The sequence below is a fragment of the Homo sapiens genome, chromosome 19, assembly GCF_000001405.40.
Source record: "Homo sapiens chromosome 19, GRCh38.p14 Primary Assembly".
In the NCBI taxonomy this organism is placed as follows: Eukaryota; Metazoa; Chordata; class Mammalia; order Primates; family Hominidae; genus Homo; species Homo sapiens.
In genome coordinates, this window is record NC_000019.10 from 5,254,280 (window position 1) to 5,276,790 (window position 22,511).

A 22,511-nucleotide genomic window follows, 5' to 3' on the forward strand; every position below is an offset into this window, starting at 1 on the left:
AATTGGTAAGTTTGGAGAAGGTGAGTGAGGGACAAGAGGGGGAAAAGGTGATTCCAAAGTCTGGCTTCTGTCCTCAACATCGTCTAAACGGGGTAGTCAGCTGGGGTTGGTGGTTAAAAATCTACACGGATATTTTATTGGGGGGTGTTTTTTATTGGGGGTTGGAGTAAGACTCTCAAGGGCGTGCCTTTTCTTGGGGAGGGGAGCAGAAGATGGGGGTGTGCATCTCTGAAGATTTGCAAGAGTGAGAGACACACAGAGAGAAAGAGAGTTGAAAAAGAGAAAGAGAAGCAGAGGGAGAGTTGGGGAGGCAGAGAGAGCAGGGGAGAGGCTGTGTCCAAGGTTCCCCTGGGCTTTTTCCAGAATTCCACAGCTCTGATGCTCAGGTACTCAGAAAGTGACCATGCTGTGTTGCTGGACAAAAGACGCCTGTGACCGGGCTCAGAGTCTGAGAGGGGATGGGGGAAGCAGCCAGTGCTGCCTGGGAGGCAGAGGCATAGTGTTCCAGGTCAGATAATTGGCCAAGTCTTTCTTCCAAAGTCTGTCAGGCTACATTTCCTAATGGGCACTTCTGGATTGGTACCCAGCCAGAATGCATACAGTCATCACAGCAGCTGCCATTTTGAGTGCCAATTACACACCGAGTATGCATGGTCCTGTGAAAATGGTGCTGTTATTGTCCTCTCCCCTCATTTAAAACTGACCATAATCCATGTTTGGATATGTCACTAAAATGAATAAGAACTCAAAATGCTAGTGCACATTCAGCAGTACTTCAAATGCCTGGGTTTGGGCTTATTTGGGAGCGCAGGAGGCAGTCTCATTCTGAGGTAGAAGGATGGGAACATGCCTGCTTAAGCTTCCTTCCAACATGGCTGCCTGGAGGCAGGGAGCTGAGTTACTACCTCTGGGGAAAGAGGAGCTGGCCAGTGAGGTCAGGAAAATTGGGCTGCTCTCTCCACACACCCCACCCATGTTCTGACCTCCTGCCATCTGTCTGTGCCACCTCCCTTGTGCCCTTGTGCCTAAGTGGTCACTTTCTGCCCTGGCATCCCAGCTGTGGGACCCCTTCTGCCCTCCTGGATGATAGCTGGGACAGGAACACTGGCTTTTAAATCACAATGCGTTTGGAGAACAACCACAGAACAGCTCAACCCAAGAAACCAAAACCAAATAGCACAGACACAAGACAGAACCAAAGACGAGTCGCTTTGGGGGAGAAGAGGACCAGGTGAAGGGAATGGGAGGGGAAAAAAGAACCATTTGATTTTTTCCCCCCAAAACGAAACAAAACCAAAGAAAAAAAGAAAAAAGAAAAAAAAAAGAAAAAGGAAAAAAGAAAACCAAAAGAGAAAAACAGAACAGAAGACGAGAAACACTCCAACAGAAGGCGTTGGGAATTCACCAAACCAAACCGACAAGAGAGGCATGCAGAGAAATTTTTACATTCTCCCAGCATGCATCAGGCCCAAGTTACCATGACGACGAGGAGTGCAAAAAACTTAGCAACAACATTACCAACGGATGCAGAGGCGACCATAATGCAAGCATCGCATGTGTGCGGCCGGCCCTAGGCCGGGCTGGGCGCGGCTGAGATTTTCGTGTCTTTCTGGGTTTTGCGCTCGCTTGGCGGTTTTTTGTTTAGTTTGCTTTGTGCTTATGATTCATATTCCATCTTTTAAAATTGTTGTTCATTTTTCTATTTTTTTTCCGTGTGTGTGTCAGCGTGTGTCCGTGTGGTGTCTACATGTGTTTTGTGTGTGTGCGTGTCATTTTCAGAATGTAAAAATGTGGGTAAAGAAAGTAAAAAAGAAAAAAACACACCAACCTTCTCGAAGCTCTGAGGGATGTAAAGGGGGTTTGATGCAGAACACAATGACATGGGAAGAAGAGAAAAAATAGGGGAGATACAGAGAGTAAAAAGAGGACTTCCCAAGGCTAAAAGCTGCAATAGTTTGTTGTTTTTTTTTTCTTTAAACCAAAAAAAAAAATTAAAATTAAAAAATAAAAAGAACAGCAATGACCTTTTTGTCTTCTCTCCACTCTGCCCTCAACATACAAGATCTACTACATTTGCCTTTCTCCATTCTTTTCTAAGCTTGATTCTGGAGCATCTAAGACCCAGGCAAAGATGGGGAAACAGAACCTCACCCCCTCAACTGTCCCCAAGAGGATGGAGGCTCATGCTGGGGACCCCACCTCTGGGGGATGAGGACACAGAAGCCCCCCTCCCTTCTTGCACCCTCACTAAAGGCCCCACCCGGCTCCCTGCCCCACACCCGCTGTCCACACTCTTTTGAGCCCTGCTGGATTTACAAACCCCCATCCCAGGTGTTGGCAGAGAAATAAGCAGGTTAGGTGAAGACCAGTCAGTTGGAGTCACGAACGCATTACAACTCACCAGAGGTGCCGTGACAGTGGATCAGACGTGCCCCTACCCACCACCCGTCCATACACCCACATCCCCATCCCCTCCCCCTCCATGCGACCTCCTCCTCAGAGACAAAATGCAAAACCCCAGGTCCAGGACCAAGGAATCACTTCAGGGCCAGCGGGTGCTGTGGATGGTAGGGACGAAGGTGGTGAGTGAGGGTCTGTGGGTAAGGGATGAGCCACACGGCCTCCTGGATGGAGAACAACTAGGGCTTGGTACTTCGCATGGGGGAAACTGAGGCCCAGAGAAGGATGTGATTGAGTCAATTACACAGCGCTAACTGGGGCAGCCCTAGGGATTGAAGGGCGCCCTGGCATCCTGGCAGAAGCTGTTTCTACCACAAATCTGATCAGAAACAGCGACTAGGAGGTGAAAGGGAGGAGGAGGAGGAAGACTACAACTTCTGAAAAGACCCAAGAGCCAACACACGAGATAAGAGGAGGCCAACGGAGGCATCTGGGGGCAAGGGAGCCCCCTGGCACCTTTGAGGCAGCACCAAGGGACCCACAAGGAAGTAAGCTTCCTTGGGGCAGGGGAGCGGGGAGGTGCTGGGGCGAGGCCCCCACGCTGCTGGGCATGACTGAGTGGGAATTGGAAACTGAGAGTAACAAGCTTCGCTGGGTGCCGTGCCTGCCCCAGCTCGGTGCAACTACCGAGCCCCCCGGGTGCCTGTGCCCGCTGTGGCTCCAGCCTCCCATCGGCCTGGACTGCCCTTCTCGGAGAGTCATTAGGAAGAGGCAGAAGGCGCCGGGCTCCGGACCAGCTGGTGGGGGGTGGGAGGGGCAGCCTCGAAGACCCCTCCTCAACTTCTAGATTGAGGGCCCTGGATTAGGGGGGGCAGTGAAGCGGGGAGCTACGAGGCCACAAAGTTGGGAGAAGCAAAGCCAGCACACAGCACGGGAAGGCACGACACACCACAGAAGCCAACTCGGGTGGGCAGGCAGGTGGGGTGGGGCGGGGCAGAGGCCTGCAGGCTCCCCTGGCCCTGTAGGCCCAAGACTGACCCCCTCACCCTGCCCCACGCCTTCCTACCCCACCATCACTGCCTCCCCAGAGCCTGCTGCCCACGGGGCATCTCTCGCAAGGCACGAGGAAGGGAATTTAAGCTGCCCCCATTCTACAGGCAAGGAAACTAAGGCCCAGAGAGGGACGCCGCCTCGGCCAAGGTCCCACCGCGACCGGGGAGGGGCCTTCCTGCTTGGGTGTGCAGGGGACGGGGGAGCCCGGAGGCGGTGAGCCCGAGGAGGGAGGGGGATGGGACGGGGCGGGTCCCTGCCTTTGACCTGGACGCGGCGTTCCCTACCTCGCACGTAGAGGTTGGCAGGTGAGGAGTAGCGCACGCCGGCGCTGTTGGTGGCCACACACTCATATTTGCCCTGGTCGGTTTCCTCACTGCTTTCAATCTGCAGGGCTCCTGTGGGAAGATGGGAAAAAGCTTGGTCTGTTAGAGGGGGGCCCAGGAGTGAACAGGGAAAGCTCCCCCACCAGAGTGCTCTCTGGCCTGTCTCCTGTGCTGGCTGGGCCAGAGAGGCAGATAAGAGGTGAGAAAACCTGGAAGCCCTAGCTTGGCCAGGCCTTGTATAACCTCCACCCCCACATCTAGCCCCACCAGGGCCTGGACACACCAGATTCCCCAGCAAATTCTCCACTCACAGTGGAAAAGCAGCTGGTCATGAGACTGCTGCCTCATGACTGCCAAGTTGAATTACAAAGATGGAGAAAAGTGTGTTTGAGAAAGCACTAAGTGATGCTCTCCTGGCCAGAAGGAAAGAGTGGGTTGGCATTCACAACTCATAACCATCATTTGATAGATCCAGGGACCTGAGGGGGCCCACCACAAATCATGTGAAAATTCAGGGAGCTGGTGGTTGCTTTGTTTCATTAGGTGCCCGTGAGTAAATGAACATGGGTCTGGGTTCCTCAGTTGTGTTTGGAATCCTAGTCCTCAAAGTCCTCAACGCCCCTAAGTAAATGGAGACGGGGTTGTACTTCTTCAGGTGTGTTTGAAATTTCAGGATTAGGTTATACCCTGAGGCAGCTAAAGTAAAAAAACGTTGATGCTGGTGTGTATCAAGTATGTTTGAGATCAAAGCCATGGATCCAAGCCTTCTGGCCTGAAACTGATTGAAGAGAAGTCAGAATTTCCCCAAGTATTTTAAGTCATCTAAATAAAAGTCTGAATTTACCTGCTTGTATTTAAAACCACAAGCCTGAAGTCAACATCCTGGTGCTCACGAGTAACTGAATGGACTTCTTCAAGTGTGTTTGAAATTATGGTCCTAGACCCAATTCTATGATGCTCATAGGTACCCAGGATTAGATTAAATTTTCAAAAGTGTTTGAAATCAGGGGTCTGATTGAAAGCCTCTCATACTCACAAGTAAAGTTGAGGCTAAAATGCCCCAAGCCTGGATCAAAGAATTTGTTGGTCATGAGTAAATAAAGATACAAAGAAGAGGGCAATTTTTCAAGCATATTTAAAACCACAGGCCCAAATCCAAGGTCTTGGTGCTCATGAGTAGATGAAAATAGGACTGATTTCCCCTCAATACATTTGAAATCACAGACCCAAATCAAAGACTTCACTTTCCATGAACCTATAAAAATGAATGAACCTTCTCAAGAATATCTGAAATCACAGGCCTTGATCAAACACTACTGTGCCCATGAGAAAATGAAAACGAGGCCAAGATTTCCCCAAAGATATCTGAAACCACATGCCTGAAACAAGTCCCTCATTTTCACCAGTAAATGAAGCTGAGTATATCTGAAATTATAGGCCTTGATAAAAACTTGAGTGCCCACAAATAAAAAATAAGGCAAAAGTTTCCACACGTATGTTTGTAATCACAGGCCTGGATCAAAGTCCTTATTTTCATAAGTAAATAAAACTTAGTGTAACATATCTAAGTATGTTTGAATCACAGGCCTGGACCCAAGTGCCTGTCGACCATGAGTAAATGAAGATGAGTGAATATCCCCAAATGTGTTTGAATCACAGGCTTCAATCACAGCCTATGGCACCAGGGGTCCAAAAATCCAGACTGAGCTTTCCAGCCTTGTTTGTGACTATCCCACAGAAATGACATGGACCCACAGATTGGGGGATTCTCTCTGGAGGTCATGGATAAAGACTCCGTCCCCATAGAGCACTGCCTATTCTCCCTGGACCTCGAGGTTCTGGGAAGCAGGCAGTATCTCCATCACTAAGGAGGCCCAGAGAGGGTCAGGAGACTGCTCTAGGTCACACAGCATTTGTAGCAAAGGTAGGGCTGGACACTGATTCTTCCCCAGGTTCCCACTCAGGCCTTCTCTTGGCTCTTCTCTGAGGCAAAAGTTGGGTAGGGGGAAAGGGATGGAGCCGACCGACCTGAGAGTGCATGTCTCTATGTGTCCTTGGGTTAGAACCTCCAGATCAGAAAGAACTGTGGAGCTGGAAGGCCCACTTTGCATGTTCGTTTTGTTTCTTTTTTTTTTTTTTTTTGAGGAGTCTCATTCTGTCACCCAGGCTGGAGTGCAGTGGCATGATCTTAGTGGCTCACTGCAACCTCTGCCTCCCAGGTTCAAGTGATTCTCCTGCCTCAGCCTCCTGAGTAGCTGGGATTACAGGCGCCCACCACCATGCCCGGCTAATTTTTGTGTTTTTAGTAGAGATGGGGTTTGACCATGCTGCCCAGGCTGGTCTTGAACTCCTGACCTCAGGTGATTCACCTGCCTCGGCCTCCCACAGTGCTGGGATTACAGGCGTGAACCACCGCGCCCGGCCTGCATGCTCATTTTAGAGGTGGCTAAACCACATGGGGCTCCCAGCACTCTGGGGGTCTTGCCAGGTAGGGTCCTTCCCAGAGGGGGAGAGAGCGCCCCCGCCTTCCACAGCCAGGTGACCTGAGGAGTCACCTCGGCCACATTCAGCCCCCTGGCCACAGACACAGACACAGACGCAGAGACCGGACTAACACTGGGTGGAACAAAGGTGGTGGCAGGGTGGACACGCATGGAAGGGGGCCTGGGGGCAGGCCCTGTGGAGCCTGAGGGGCTGAGTGGGCAGCAAGAGCGAGCGTGAGTGGGTGGGTGAGTGAGGAGCCTCTTACCTCGAATCGGAGTGCTTTCTGTAAGGGAAGCAGAGAGAACCAGGTGAATGTCACAAGGCGGTTGTTGGGGGGCCGGGGGGCCCCAGGGAAGCTGGGCTGGGCCGTAAGCCAGGCCTCAGCACTCTGCCCCAGGGAGGGGATCGAGCCAGCCCTGGGCATACGGACCCTGCGGGCTTTGCTGAGGAAGCTAGGAGAGGCCTCCTAGGAGCAGGGTGAGGTCTGAGGGCTTGTCAAAGCAGGAGGGTTTCCTGTAGAAGGCGGGAATCTCTGGGGGTGGAGGGATGGAGTCTAGAAGCCTCTCTGGATGGGTGAGGGGCGTCTCTATGCCCAGGGAAGGTCTGTCAGCCTGGCCCTTTGGTGGCCTTCCCTCTGGGCTGAGGGAGGGAGGTTCATCACCCCCCCTTCCTTCTTTCCGTCTTAGGGAGCCCAGCAAGAGACTGCTTTCAAGTCCAGACTAGGAGGGGACAAGGAGCAACAGGAATTATCTTGTTAGAGACAGGGGAGGTGGGTGGGGTTAGTGCCCCAGTGCCGGGCATTAATACAGCCAAGGAAGGGTGTCACAGACAGGCCGAGTAGGAGGGACAGGGAGAGCCTGGCAGCCTTCTTACCAAGAGGAAAAGAGGAAAGACCTGTTTATCTGGGCCTTGGAGGCAGGGATGGTTAACTGCAAAGCAGGAAAAGGCGGCTCGGGGCTGGAACGTTACTCCCTCTGCTCATGATCCAGGGAGAAGTTTTGGGCCCCCTTCTCTCTGCTGCTGATGGCCGATAACTTGATAACTCGGCTGGCTGGGGCCAAGAAGATCCCAAGACCTCGATCTGCCAGGAGTGGCCAGACACGTGAAAAAGCAGCTCCTTCTGCGTGGCCCAAACCCATTTTGCAGACGGGCCAACTGAGGCTCAGAGGGGAATCTCTGAGGTCCCATCATGAGGCAGGGGTGGGCACTGAGCCTAGCTCTCCAGCCTCCTGGGATGAGGAGCTTCTGGCCTGAACTTTTCGGAGTCCCTGAATTATCTTTCGAGGTGTTCTCGTGAGGCCACTCTGCACCCTTTAGAGGGGAGCAAACAGAAGTTTGCCTAAAGTTACACCCTGGAGAACTGGAATCCGAGTCAGCGGAAATCCAGGCTGGCCTTTGCTAGGACACTGGGATGACGATGGTGGAAGTCAGGGTTAAAGAAAGTCTTTTCAGGCCGGGCGTGGTGGCTCACGCCTGTAATCCTAGCACTTTGGGAAGCCGAGGCAGGTGGATCACCTGAGGTCAGGAGTTTGGGGTACCAGCCTGGCCAACATGGTGAAACCCCGTCTCTACTAAAAATACAAAAATTAGCCGGGTGTGGTGGTGGGTGCCTGTAATCCCTGCTACTCAGGAGACTGAGGCAGGAGAATTGCTTGAATCGGGGACGTGGAGGCTTTAGTGAGCCGAGATGGTGCCACTGCACTCCAGCCTGGGTGACAGATTAAGACTGTCTCAAAAAAAAAGAAGTCTTTTCAAGTTGGCCAAATCACTCAGGGCTATTCTATCAAGTGGAAACAATGTATCCCTTAGCCATTAAAAGGTGTTCCGCCTCCCACCCTGAGAGAGATGAAGGGACTGATAGCATAGGCTGATATCAGTCACTCTCACTTTAGTATGAATTAGTCCCACAACTGATTTCAGGAGATTCAGGCTGAATGCTGAGAAAAGTGGATGAGAAGTGCCCAGTAGCAGCTAGGCTGGAAAAATCTCCACTCCACGCCCAGCCCCAGCCCCCAAACTTCTGTAATTAAATCCTTTTCCAGCAGGGCTAAGGCCAAGAAAAAAGTGCGGGAGGAAATGTTGTTAGGTGCGAAGTTCCATGAGCCCGAGGATGCCTCTGAACCCCCCTCAGCCTGCATTTTGAGGTCTGCCTGGCCTTGTCTCTTTTCCTCTTTTCCTTTGGGTGGACTTGTCTCTTTTCCTCTTTTCCTTTGGGTTTCTTTCTCTGCCGCACACTAGTGCCAGCTGGGGAGGGCTGAGGGGCCGGTCGCGGGGAGGAGGGAGAGGGCGTTAGTAAACATACCAGGCAGAGTGGGTCACAGTTACCATCACGGTGGCTGTTAGTTTGGTGAGGAGAAGGGGAGCAGAAGGGGCACAAAGGGGATGGGGCGTTAGTTGTTGACGTGGTGATGAAATCAGACTTACCAAAGGTTTCTGAACGTTTACAACAGGAGGATAAGAAAAGAGAACAGGAACGTTAACGGGTGGTTACAAAGAATCCTATGTCCTCAGCGAGGAGGGGAGGGCGGGGGAGGGGAGGGGGACGCTCAGAATAATAATAACAACATTTCTTATGATTCCTAAAGTGGCTTATGTTCACTGAGCACCTAGCAGGCGCTAGACATTCCATCCTGGAGAGGTCACCAGAACACAAGGAAAATAGGCATGTTTTATGGGGAAACTGAGGCCACCGCTCCCCCTGCTTGCAGAGGCCTATGAGCTGCAAACATCCTCAGCCAGGCTGGGAGATAGGAGGCGATTTGTCCCCCCAGTGTGAGGTCTGAGTCTCTCCAAGGAAGACATTCTGGGCTCCACGTCTGATCTTTTTGGGGCTTGGTTTTCACTAAGGAGGAGGAGCAGAAAGCGGAGAACAGGTAGGTAGGCTCTTTGGTGGGGGGCAACGATGGGCAGTGAGTGAGGGGCGCTGGGGATGATTCGGGGAGGTACTGCTGCAAAGGGGGCTCCGTGGCGGGATCCTCGGAGGAAGGGGAGAGAGAAAGCAAAAAGAGGGGTGTGTGGAGGTGCAGGGTGATCTCAACAGTGACCTGAACGAAGGCAGGGCGTCAAGCCCGGCACAACTGAAAACAGTAAATCCGTGACACAGACAAACACGCATGTGCAGCCACACGTGTGCTCCCAATGTATGGAGACACATCCCCACCACGTGTGTCCCCACGCACGAGCACTAGGGAGGTGCAGGCTGAGAGGCGCGTGCGCGGATCACTGCCCTGTGTGCACAGGCACGGGAGTGACTGCAATGTGGGTGCACGTGTGGCCGAGATGCAGGCGGACACTTTGCTCCGGGCGGGGGAAGGGAGGCCCGTGTGTGACAGCAGCCAGGCCTGCACACCTGTGCCCACAGGCGGGAGGCAGGCCAGGCCGGCACAGGGAGCCCAGACATGCACACGTGGACATGTCGTGAAGCGGGGGGACAACACACACGCAGACACAGCCCCCCAGACAGATGGACCCACAGATGGGCCATGTGGGTGCTTTGTGGAGACACAATGGTGGAACCACCCGTCTCCAAGGCTCTGTCCCAAGGTCTCCCTAGCCCAGCCAGGGCCTGAACAGACAGGCTGGACTGCCCGTCTGTGCCCCCTTACAGACCTGAAGCCCCGCCATCACCTCTTACTGCTCAGCCTTGGAGAGACTCTCTCCCTGTAGTTTTCTATGGCTCCCCATCACCTTACTTGTCACCTCTGGACACCTGCCATTGCCTTACACAGCTTCCACTACTCCTGCCTGTCTGGGCCCCACTGTATTCTCACTGGACGTGCCTAATGCTTCTGTAGAGGATGCTCTCTGCCACCTTCCATAGCTCCCTATTACATACCCATTGAAGCTGGTCTCCCCTTGTCACCCTCCATGGCTCACTGACACTTCTGCCTGTCTGTCTCCCATTGCTTGGGCACTGCCGATACCCACCATCCTTGGCGGCTTTCTTTCTTTTCAGAGATGAGCGTCTTGCTACATTGCCCATGCTGGTCTCAAACTCCTGGCCTCAAGCAAGCCTTCTGCCTTGGCCTCCCAAAGAGCTCGGATTACAGGCATAAGCCACTGCGCCCAGCCCCCTCAGTGGCTTCCTATCACCCACAACTGTCTGTGGGTGACAGCTGTGATCTCACTGCCTGAGCATGGGAGACACTCTCCCCGCCCATGGCCCTATATAACTCCCCATCCTTGTGCATGTCTGCATCCATTATATCTTCATTGGCCAGGTGTTGAAGCACTATTCTTCTACCACCCTCTATAGCTCTCCAGTACTCATGCCCATCTGTGCCCCCTAATATCCTCAGTGTGCGGCTTTGAAGACATTTGCCCCCACTCCCCCAGAGCCAACGCCTGCCACGGCCACACACTGTCTCTGTCTGTCCTCCAGTAGTCCCCAGAACTTGGGCCCTGGAGATGCTCCCCACCCCCTGCTGCCCTCCAAGGCTCCCACGTCCTGTCAGCCACCCTCACTCACCTGATCGCAGCTGTTTGATGCGTCCATTGCTGGCACTAGGATCCACAGGCAGGAAGTCCTTGAACCAGGTGATCTCAGGGTCAGGGTTGCCGCTGGCTGCACAGAGCATGGTGGCTGTCCGTGTCCGCTCCACCACCTTCAACTGTGGGCCCATGTCGATGTTGGGGAAGCCAGAGGGCAGCTGGTCCTCTGAGGGCAGAGACGTGAGAGAAATGGGCATGGTTCTGAGCACTGCACAGCCACTCCTGAGCCTGGGGCTCAGGGACTGCCTGGCCACGGGTCCAGCTCCTCCCTGGCTGCGTGACCTCAGCCATGGGTGCCATCCTTTACAGCCAGTTCTCTCTCTTTTTTTGAGACAGGGTCTTGCTCTGTTGCCCAGGCTGGAGTACAGTGGCTCGATCATAGCTCACCGCAGTCTCAACAACCTGGGCTCAAGTGATCCTCCTGCCTCAGCCTCCTGAGTAGCCGGGACTACAAGCATGCGCCACCACGCCTGGCTAATTTTTAAAATTTTTGTAGAGAGGGGGTCTCGCTGTGTTGTCCAGGCGGGTCTCAAACTCCTGGCCCCAAGCAATCCTCCCACTTCTGCCTCCCAAAGCACTGGGATTGCAGGCATGAGCCACTGCACCTGGTTGGGTCCCTCTTCTGTACAAGGGGGAGGCTGGTGTCAGGGAGCTGAGCCAGGTAGAATGATATTTCTCACTGGGGGGTGACTCTGCTGCCCTGGGAGACACTGGGCGATGTCTGGGGATATCTGAGGTTGTCACAACTTGGGGGTCAGGACTTGGGGGTGGGTGCTCCTGGAATGGACTGGGTGGGGCTGAGAGATGCTCTACACCCTACTACATATAAGCACAAACCTGGCCCCAAGGTCCACAGTGCTGAGTGGGTTCATTTACAGCAGCCTGAGGACGCCTTTCTTTTTATCTTTTAAAAAATTTTTAAACAGAGAGATATATACATATAAATCAGCTGGACGCGGTGGCTCATGCCTGTAATCCCAGCACTTTGGGAGGCCGAGACAGGTGGATCACTTAAGGCTAGGAGTTTAAGACCCAGCCTGGCCCACATGGTGAAACACTGTCTCCATTAAAAACAAAAACTAGCCGGGCATGATGGTGCATGCTTGTAATCCCAGCTACCCGGGAGACTGAGGCAGAAAAATCACTTGAACCCGGGAGACGGAGGTTGTGGTGAGCCAAGATCACGCCACTGCACTCTAGCCTGGGCGACAGAGTGAGACTCGGTCTCAAAAAAAATCAAACTAAAAATAAAAATAAAATAAATAAAATATAGAGATAGGGTCTCACCATGTTGCCCAGATTGGTCTCGACCTCCTGGGCTCAAGGAATCCTCCCACCTTGACCTCCCAAAGCATTGGGATTACAGGTATTTTACAGGTATGAGCCACTGTGCCTGGCCCAGAGGACACCGTTTTTATTTTTTATTTATTTATTTTTTTTGAGATGGAGTCTCACTCGTCGGCCAGGCTGGAAGGCAGTGGCATGCACTCCACGCCCGGCTAATTTTTGTACTTTTAGTAGAGAAGGGGTTTTGCCATGTTGGCCAGGCTGGTCTCGAACTCCTGACCTCATCATCCACCTGCCGTGGCCTCCCAAAGTGCCTGGATTACAGGTGTGAGCCACAGCCCCACCTGCCTTTCTAAACATAAACCACACTGCTCCCCCGCTGTACACCCTTCTGTGGTCCGGCCACCCTCAGAAGGAACCCTGCCTGCTTGCCCGCTGCTGGCCCCTGCCACCTTCCCTCCTCTTTTTCTCTCTGGCCCAGTCACCCTGGCCTCCACGGCTCTCAAAGTCATCAAGCCCCCTCCCTCGGGTCACCTGTTCTGTTCCCTCAGCCTGGAATCCCCGTTCCCACATCTGTCTACTGATCGGAACACCACCTGGGACTAGCTCCAACTCCCTTGCTCTAAATGCCCCCACACTCCTCACTCTCCTCTGCAGCAGGGAATTCTATCTGTAACGGTGCATCTGTGTCACCACAGCATCCGTAGCACCCAGCGCAGAACCGGGCATACAGTAGGAGCTCAATCAATGAACAAACAACTCAATCCTGGTTGAGCACTCAATCCTCCAGCACCAGGTGAGTGAGTGGCACCAGGTCTCCAGCGCTCGGTATCCCTCTTGGGTGGTGAGGTTCTGGCTCCCCTCCATGGTAAATGGAGACCGGTGGTGATGTGGGGGCGGGGGGGAGCGGGGACAAGGAGGAGAAACTCAGGTCCCTGGAATCTCCTGGTCCCAGAGCTCCCTGAGCGGTGGGAACATGCTTCTGGGCTGAGGTGATGAGGTGAGCCAGCTAAGTGACGGGCTGCCTTGCATCCAGGGTGCTCTACAAACCAAGATGGGCCGGCCGTGGGGGCTCACACCTGTAATCCCAGCACTTTGGGAGGACGAAGCAGGTGGATCACCTGAGGTCAGGAGTTCGAGACCAGCCTGGCCAACATGGTGAAACCCCGTCTCTACTAAAAATACAGAAATTAGCCAGGCATGGTGGCGGACGCCTGTAATCCCAGTTCCTTGGGAGGCTGAGGCAGAAGAATCGCTTAAACCCAGGAGGTGGAGGTTGCAGTGAGCTGAGATCATGCTACTGCACTCCAGCCTGGGCGACAGAGCAAGACTGTCTCAAAAAAAAAAAAAAAAGAGATTAGGAAACAGCCACGTAGGGCAGACTAATAACCGTGCCCCCCCGCCCCCCCAACTCCACTCCAACGGACAAGTGACAAAAAAGTGACAAATCGCAGTGCTGTTAAGACCAAGAAATAGGCAGCTCCTCTGCATCTGGTAGGAATGCTGGAGTGGAGGGGGTAAAGGGCCGCAAAAACAGCCCTGTAGCTGTATTTATTAATAAAGTTTTATCAGCCGGGCACAGTGGGTCACGCCTATAATCCCAGCACTTTGAGAGGCCGAGGCAGGTGGATCACGAGGTCAGGAGATCGAGACCATCCTGGTGAACATGGTGAAACCCCGTCTCTACTAAACTACAAAGAAGATTAGCCGGGCTTGGTGACGGGCACCTGTAGTCCCAGCTACTCGGGAGGCTGAGGCAGGAGAATGGCGTGAAGCCGGGAGGCGGACTTTGCAGTGAGCAGAGATCGCGCCACTGCACTCCAGCCTGGGCGACAGAGCAAGACTCCATCTCAAAATAAATAAATAAATAAATTAATTAATTAATTAAATAAAGTTTTATTGGCACACAGCCACGCCCATTCGTTTCTCAGCTTTTCCAACACAATGGCAGAGTTTTGGGTTGTTGCTGCGACAGAGACCGTCCAGCCTGTAGAGCCAAAAATATTTACTTCCTGGTGGTCTGGAGAAAAAGTGTGCTGCTTCCTGGCGTAGACAATGTTTCTGTTTGTTTAAAGAATACACATGTATTTGCTTACAAAGGCCCAGATGGGACATGGGGCTCAGGGGTGGGTGGCCGTGGACAGAGGTGGGCAGGAGGCCACCATCTTGGGAGGAAACTGAGCCCCAGGCAAGCAGCAGGAGGGCAGGAGGCCAAGATGGGGCAAGGGAGAGGTGGGCAGGATCCAGGGAGGGGAAGCCAGAATCAATCCCTGCCTCCCCAGGATTACGAGAGAGCGGCAGTTCCAGCTCGGGGGTCACTGCTTGGATGGGAAAAGCCCCAGTGGAAAGCCCTGAGCACTAACAGCATCCCAGGCGCAGCGCAGGCAACGGAACCTGTGATCTCCTCCAAGCCTTTTCCATAGAGGGGGAAACGGAGGCACAGGCAGTCACACACTTGTCCCAGGTCATACAGCCAGCATGTAGCAAGGATTTGAACCCAGGCCTGGCTGAGCTCAGAAGAAGCTGAGCAGGACCGGCTGCAAAAGCCCTCCACTCAACCAGGTCTGAACCCATCGGGGCCCTGAAGGGGGCATGGCTGGATGCCGTCTGAGGCAGTTCAGGCCTCTTGTCCATCCTTCCTGGGCCAGGGACCTGGACGACCTTGAAAGTGGCTCTGATTGGCTACTGATGACATCATCGGAGATGAGGGCCAAAATGACTGGGCCTCACTCAATTGGTCTTGGTGCCCACAGCTGGGTCTGTCGGCATCCCCCTGTGTGTCTATGCATGCTCGTGTGCCTACGAGGGAACCCTGTATTTCATTCATGCGTGGGTACATGTGTGCCGCATGTATGTGCTCACGCTTGCCCGTGCCCACGTGTCCACACGTGAGCAATTCCCGTGTGTATGTGGCCCCGCAGGGGTCCCCATAAGCGTGTGTGGACAGCAGCCAGCCAGGGTGCAGGGGGAGGTCTCGGCCGCCTGACGCTACCGAGAACACCTAATTAAACAAAAACGTACATCGCGAACCACACTCTGCCCAGTTCCTCGGAGTTTAATTAAAACAACAGTGCAGGAGGCGTGTGTGGGGTCCACAATCAGATGGCAGAGGAGGAGGAAGGCAGGGAGTGGCCCTGGCAGTCCAGATGGTCCCCCACCAACTGCCAGGGACTGGCCGGAGGTGCCCGGAGCTCAGGGCTGGTGGCAAGGTGGGTGGGATCGGGTCAGGGTATCCAAGGCCCCGGGCCCCAGCAGGAAGAATGAGCTCCCAGCCCAAGCAGGCCCTTCCAGGCAGCCGGAGAGGAGAGAGAAAAAGGGTGTGGGCTCGGCACGGTGGCTGACGCCTATAATCCCAGCACTTTGGGAGGCTGAGGAGGTGGATCACCTGAGGTCAGGAGTTCAAGACCAGTCTGACCAACATGGCGAAACACTGTGTCTACTAAAAATACAAAAATTAGCTGGGCGTGCTAGTGGGCGCCTATAGTCCCAGCTACTCAGGAGGCTGAGCCAGGAGAATTGCCTGAACCCAGGAGGCGGAGGTTGCAGTGAGCCAAGATCACGCCATTGCACTCCAGCCTGGGTAACAAGAGCAAAACTCCATCTCAAAAAAAAAAAAAAAAAAAAAGAGTGTGGATGGGCGCAGGGGGCATTTTTTTCCCAGACTCCGGGGGACCGGGCAGTTGATGGCTTCACAGCTTGTCCTTTTAATACCCTGAGTGCTCAGAGTGCAGGCTGGCTTGGGGCAAGAGAAGGCAGGTTGTTCTGTCCCAGCCTGGGAAAGGTCAGGGCAAAATTATCTGCTAGGAAGAGCAGGGCGGGCCACGGTGGGCCTGACTCCGCCCCCGCTCCTTCCTCCATCCCCCAGCAGGATGGGATCCAGGACCCACGCAAATGAAATTGTGGGGTCTCTTGTTAGAAAAGTATTAAGACTTTCCAGACCACAATAGCGAGCTTTTATCTTTTCTTCCCCCTCCCCCCCACCCCCCTTTTAGAGACAGGGTCTTGCTCTGTCACCCAGACTGGGGTGCAGTAGCATGATCATAGCCCACTGTAGCCTTGAACTCCGAGGCTCAGGCGATCCTCCTGCCTCAGCCTCCTAAGTACTTGGGACTATAGGCAGGCCCCATTACACCAGGCTAAGTTTTACATTTTTCTTTTTGTAGAGACTTGGACAGTGAGGCATGGGGTCTCTATGTTGCCCAGACTAGTCTCAAACTCCTGGGCTCAAGTGATCCTCTTGACTTGGCCTCCCGAAGTGTTGGCATTACAGGTGTGAGCCACGGCATGTGGCCAGCAGCAGAGCTTTAAAAAGCACGGGGCCTTTCTTTTTTTTCTTTTGAGATGGAGTCTCCCTGTGTCACCCAGGCTGGAGTACAGTGGCGCAATCTCAGCTCACTGCAGCCTCCGCCTCCCGGGTTCAAGCAATCCTCCTACCTCAGCCTCCCAAGAATCCGGGAGCTAGGATGACAGGTGCACACCACCATGCCTGGCTAATTTTTGTATTTTTAGTAGATTTGGGGTTTCACCATGTTGGCCAGGCTGGTCTCAAACTCCTGACCTCAAGTTGTCCACTTGCCTCGGCCTCCCAAACTGCTGGGATTACAGGCCAAAGCACAGGGCCTGAGGGAGGGATCCTGGATGACTGTACAGGTCACTCGCCTGTGATGCCAGTCCCAGTTTCATGGGACCAGAGTCTGAAATCGAGTACTACTAGGGCCGCTGTGATAACCCCTCCCAGGGCTCCAAGCTGGTCACAGCTGGGCTGCCGTGGAGGACATTGGAATAGCCTCATCTTGGGAAGCCACATGCAGGGGTCACCTCCCAGCTAATGGCTGGCAGTGGCTCATATACATGACTGGGATGTCTCTGCAGGTGACAGGTGGAACCCACTCACCTGAGGGCTGCAGAAGGATTGGTAACAAGCATCTTACTAAACCAGAATCCTAACAGTGATGAACACAGTAACGGGGAAGTAGAATTGACCAAATATGGCATTGTGCTAATCTTGCTCCCTGTATCACTCACTCATCTGGTTCACGGAATTACCCCTTGTGGTGAGAACCATTATTACCCGATTTTTTTTTTTTTTTTTTCCCTGAGACGGAGTCTTGCCCTGGTCGCCCAGACTGGAGTGCGATGGCGTGATCTCGGCTCACTGCAACCTCCACCTCCCAGGTTCAAACGATCCTCTCCTGCCTCAGCCTCCCGAATAGCTGGGATTACAGGTGCCCACCATCACGTTCAGCTAATTTTTGTATTTTTAGTACAGACAGGGTTTCACCATGTTGGCCAGGCTGGTCTCTAAGTCCTGACCTCGCGATCTGCCCGCCTTGGCCTCCCAAAGTGCTGGGATTACCGGCGTGAGCTACCGCGCCCAGCCATTTCATTTTTATTCATTCATTCATTCATTCATTCATTTATTTTGAGACAGAGTTTCGCTCTTGTCGCCCAGGCTGGAGTGCAATGGTGTGATCTCAGCTCACTGCAACCTCCGCCTCTTGGGTTCAAGCAACTCTCCTGCCTCAGCCTCCTGAGCAGCTGGGATTACAGGTGCACGTCACCTCACCCACCTAATTTTTGTATTTTTAGTAGAGACGGGCTTTTACCATGTTGGCCAGGCTGGTCTTGAACTCCTTGACCTCAGGTGATTCACCCGCCTCGGCCTCCCAAAGTGCTGGGATTACAGATGTTTGAGTCCCTGTACTCAGCCCGACTTTAGAGATGAGAAAATTGCAGCTCAGACAAGTTCATTAACCTGCCCTAGGTCACACAGCAACCAAGTGGCAGCCAGGACTTGAGCTCCACAGGCTGGGCCCAGTGCTAAGACCAAACTGCAGTGGAGAAGGCAGCACAGAGTGGTTGGGCAAGGGTTTGTAGGCGGCTGTTTGAAATGATGCTGAACAAAAATTTGTTCACAAAATTGCTTCCTCATTATAAAACAGCATCACTCAGACAGCCCCCTATAAACCCCTTGCGACTTGTTCAAGAAATGCATTTAGGCTGCATGCAGTGGCTTATGCCTGTAATCCCAGCACTTTGGGAGGCTGAGGCAGGCGGATCACTTGAGGTCAGGAGTTTGAGACCACCCTGGCCAACATGGTGAAACCCTGTCTCTACTAAAAATACAAAAATTAGCTGGGCGTGGTGGCATGTGCCTGTAATCCCAGCTACTTGGGAGGCTGAGGCAGGAGAATCGCTTGAACCTGGGAGGTGGAGGTTGCAGTGAGCTGAGATAATGCCACTGTACTCTGGCCAGCGCAACAAAGCAAGACTGTCTCAAAAAAAAAAAAAAAAAAAAAAAAAAAAAAAAAAAAAAAAAAGAATTGCACCTAAACAAGACCAGCAAGCAGCACTGCAGGCCCGTGTGAATGTCTGGGGAAGTGGGGCAGCAGTTTCTGCCTACCTAGCATCCGTTCATCCTTTATTTTTTGTAGAGATGGGGTCTCGCTATGTTGCCCAGTCTAGTCTCACGTGTGATCCTCCCACCTCAGCCTCCCAAAGTGCTGGGATTGCAGGTGTGAGCCACCATGCCCAACCCTGTTTATCTTTATTCCTTTGGGGGAACCACACTCACTCTTGGCTCCAGGTAGGAGTCTAGCCAATCAGAGTGTTTGTTCCTCCTGAGCCACAGTGATTAGTTCAGGGAAGGGAATGGGATCCAAGTTCATTGGCAGTGGGGGAAGTCTCACTAAGGATATCATCAATACAGAAGGAAACAAAGCCAAGAGACAGAGAGTGAGCTCTGAGAAAATTCAATGAGCCCCTGGATCCAGCTGAACCTGAAGCCAGCCACTCCATGGAATTTTAATTCTGCACATCAATTACCTTTCTCGCTTGAACCCATCTGAGTTGGATCAGCCTTTTGTCATCAGAAGCACATGATGAAGATTATAAATTAGGATGATTCTAGTCTCTCAATTCCTTTCTTTCTTGCAAAGGCACAATAAATCCCCACCAGTAGGCGCTGGGCCCTGAGACTGTTACTGGTTGGATAAGGGAGATCAAGGTCCTCCCAAAAAACACAAAGCAGGAGGGTTTGGGGTAACTTTCATGTATTCCTTTTGTGCTTGTCCCCAAAGCCCAGGGCCCAGTTTATCCTCCGCCCGCCCTGAGGAGCCCAATACCTCGGAGGACAGTAAGCTTGGCATGGACTGTGATCTCCCCAACCGAGTTCTGGGCCACACACTCGTACACGTTTTCATCCCGCGGTGTCCTCAGCGGCTGGATCCTCAGCACTGCCCCTGCACTCTCATCAAACTCAATCGTCTGCCATGGGCAGGGGAAAAAAGAACAGAGTGAGGCTGGGGTCCCAGGAAGGTTCCTGTCTAGGCTGGGCTAGGCTGGGCTGTAGGGGAATGGCAGTCAGCCCCATGATCCTGGGGGTGACTGGGAGAATTGCTGCAGGCTGAATGTGCACGTGTGTCGGTGTCCAGTATAAATGCGCCGCAGACAGGGACCAGATTTGGGTACATATAAGAACAGGGTGTTGTGTGCATGTGTGAGGGTGACAAATGTCTGCAAGCCCATGTGACAGGCATGCAAAGGCATGTGAAGACATGCGGAATGTGTCAATGTGCACGTGTGATCATGGGCGTGTATTGAGAGTTGTAAAGTTCCTTCTGTGTGCAGTGGTGCTGTGTACACTGCACTGTGAAGAAGACTCAGAGAGGGCAGGGCTTTGCTTGAGGCCACACAGCATGGAGCTGGTAGAGCAAGTAAGGCGGGCAGGGCCCTGGCTGGAGGCTGCGCAGCCATGCTTGCTTGGCCACAGATGATGCTCCACCTGGGGAACGTGTCCACGAAGTCCACTGTGGCTGAGGTGCTGTGGCCCTGCCTTGGGGGAGCATTGACCCCAGGCTGCCTCCCCCTACCCCAACTCACCTCAAAGCGCTGAGAGTTGACCTTCTTGCCCTTCTTGTTCCAGGTCACTCGTGGCTTGGGGTCACCCGTGGCCTGACACACGAAAGAGGCCACACCCCCCGACACGCCGATCTGGTCCTTGGGTTCTTTGATAAACCTGGGGGGCTCTGGGGATACAGTGGAAAGAAGGGGGGGCGCTGATGGGTCCAGGCATCTGGCTAGGATACCAAGGAGCCACGAAAACCTGCATTCCATGCCCTGCCCACGGAAGTGCCATGTGGCCAATGAAGAGAGGAGGAGGAAAGCAAGGATGACAACAAACACCCTCCCACCTCGCCCCCCACCACGGCACCCATGGGCACCCAGGTGCCCACATATCCCCACTTCCACCTGCAACAGCCACACCTGCTCACACACAGTGGATACAACCTCACCTGGGCACACCTGCTCAGACACAGTGGATACAACCTCACCTGGGCACACCTGCTCAGACACAGTGCCACTGGGAAAGATGGAAGGGGAAACCTGTGAGATGCTGGGGTCCCTAAATTCAGCACCTGAACCCCCCCTCCATGGTGACCAGCCAAACCCTGGAGGGCCCTGAAAGCACTTGCCAGAATAACTTGGTCTAATTTCCTGGTGAGACATGTGGGGAAACTGAGGCACCCAGCATGGGGGCGGGGGGTGACCATGGGACATGAGGTCAGAGCCAGTATTTGAACCCAGAGCTCCAGCTTCTTGGGAGGCATCCAGGAGGTGGCTGGACACGAGGGGTCAGTGCCCAGGAGAGTGCTCTGAGCTGGAGGCAGGAGCTCAGAAAGGGGAAGTAATATTTAATATTTAACCTCTCCAACAGCATGGAGAGGCAGTGCCATCCTGATCGTCATTTTCTTTTCTTTTTTTTTTTTTTCCAGACAGTGTCTCACTCTGTCGCCCAAGCTGGAGTACAGTGGTGTGATCTCGGCTCACTGCAACTTCTGCCTCTCAGGTTCAAGCGATTCTCCTGCCTCAGCCTCCCGAGTAGCTGGGACTACAGGTGCCCACCACCATGCCCGGCTAACTTTTTGTATTTTTAGTAGAGATGGGGCTTTACCATGTTAACCAGGATGGTCTCGGTCTCCTGACCTCATGATCTGCCTGCCTTCGCCTCCCAAAGTGCTGGGATTACAGGCATGAGCCGCTGCACCCAGCCTTCTTTTCTTTTTCTTTTCTTTTTTTTTTTCCTGAGAGATAGGGATTCACTCTGTCACCCAGGCTGGAGTGCAGTGGCACGGTCTTGGCTCACTGCAGCCTAGACCTCCCAGGCTCAAGCAATCCTCCCACCTTGGCCTCCCAAGTAGCTGGGACTACAGGTGAAGGCCATCACATCTGTAACCCCAGCACTTTGGGAGGCTGAGGCCGGAGGATCACCTGAGGTCAGCAGTTCGAGACCAGCCTGACCAACATGGTGAAACCCCGTCTCTACTAAGGAAACAAACATTAGCCAGACATAGTGGTGGGCACCTGTAATCCCAACTACTTGGCAGGCTGAGGCAGAAGAATTGCTTGAACCTGGGAGATGGAGGCTGCAGTGAGCCAAGATCATGGCACCACACTTCAACCTGGGCGACAGAGTGAGACTCCGTCTCAAAAAACAAAAACAAAAACAAAAACCAGCCTGGGGTCTCACTATGTTGCCCAGGCTGGTCTGGAACTCCTGGCCTCAAGTGATCCTCCCACCTTGGCCTCCCAAGTAGCTATGTTGTCCAGCCTGGTCTCAAACTCCTAGCCTCGAGCAATCCTCCCACTTCAGCCTCCCAAGCTGCTGGATTTATAGGCGTCAACCACCATACCCAGCTCTGCCATCCCCATTTTACATGTGAGGAAACTGAGACACAAACCAGGCAAGGGACTTGCTTTGGCTGGACATGCACAGCCAGGCGGTGGCTGAGCTGAACGTGCTCCTTTGAACCAGCCTGGCTTTCACATCCACATTCTTCACCCTCCATGACGATCTGATGTATTCATTCAGTCTCTGCAATAAAGCCTGGAGTAGGAGTGTTTTTGTTTTTGTTTTTGTTTTTTGAGATGAAGTGTTGCTCTGTCACCAGGCCAGAGTGCAGTGGTGCCATCTCGGCTCAATGCAACCTCCGCCTCCCAGGTTCAAGTGATTCTCCTACCTCTAACTCCTAAGTAGCTGGGATTACAGGCACGCACCACCACGCCTGGCTAATTTTTGTATTTTTAGTAGAGATGGGGTTTCACCATGTTGGCCAGGGTGGTCTTGAACTCCTGACCTCAAGTGATCCACCTACCTTGGCCTCCCAAAGTGCTGGGATTACAGGTGTGAGCCACTGCGCCTGGCCTGGAGTACGTGTTTTTTTTTTGTTTTTGTTTTTTTTGAGACAGAATCTCACTCTGTTGCCCAGGCTGGAGTGCAGTGGTGCGATCTCGGCTCACTTCAAGCTCCGCCTCCCAGGTTCACACCATTCTCCTTCCTCAGCCTCCCAAGGAGCTGGGACTACAGATGCCCGCCACCATGCCCAGCTAATTTTTTTGTATTTTTAGTAGAGATGGGGGTTTCACCGTGTTAGCCAGGATGGTCTCGATCTCCTGACCTCGTGATCCGCCCGC

The 22,511-nt window shown here is 53.3% G+C and overlaps 1 protein-coding gene across 32 annotated transcripts in view, besides 1 other annotated feature; it reads right to left on the reverse strand.

Annotated features, from left to right (window-relative positions):
* The window catches only part of PTPRS (protein tyrosine phosphatase receptor type S), a 135,305-nt gene that overhangs the window by 48,772 nt on the left and 64,022 nt on the right, over positions 1-22,511 (reverse strand). For 18 of the 32 annotated variants that reach the window (XM_047439166.1, XM_047439164.1, NM_130853.3 and 15 more), the window contains exons 3-6: positions 19,920-20,065; positions 19,163-19,304; positions 10,729-10,917; positions 3,738-3,848 (exon numbers count right to left, since the gene is read on the reverse strand). In XM_047439166.1, coding sequence (XP_047295122.1) covers positions 3,738-3,848; positions 10,729-10,917; positions 19,163-19,304; positions 19,920-20,065 — 588 coding nt within the window. Of the gene's footprint in view, positions 1-1,828; positions 1,841-3,737; positions 3,849-6,525; positions 6,544-8,684; positions 8,694-10,728; positions 10,918-19,162; positions 19,305-19,919; positions 20,066-22,511 lie in introns of all 32 variants that reach the window. The other 14 variants (NM_130855.3, XM_017027066.2, XM_047439165.1 and 11 more) reach the window with 2 other exon arrangements.
* Positions 14,633-15,133: an enhancer, noted in NCBI's record as "H3K4me1 hESC enhancer chr19:5268923-5269423 (GRCh37/hg19 assembly coordinates)". NCBI's record gives its function as "activates a minimal SCP1, AML or CMV promoter by ChIP-STARR-seq in primed H9 embryonic stem cells {active_cell/tissue: H9 hESC(primed)}" and the evidence as "EXISTENCE:reporter gene assay evidence [ECO:0000049][PMID:30033119]".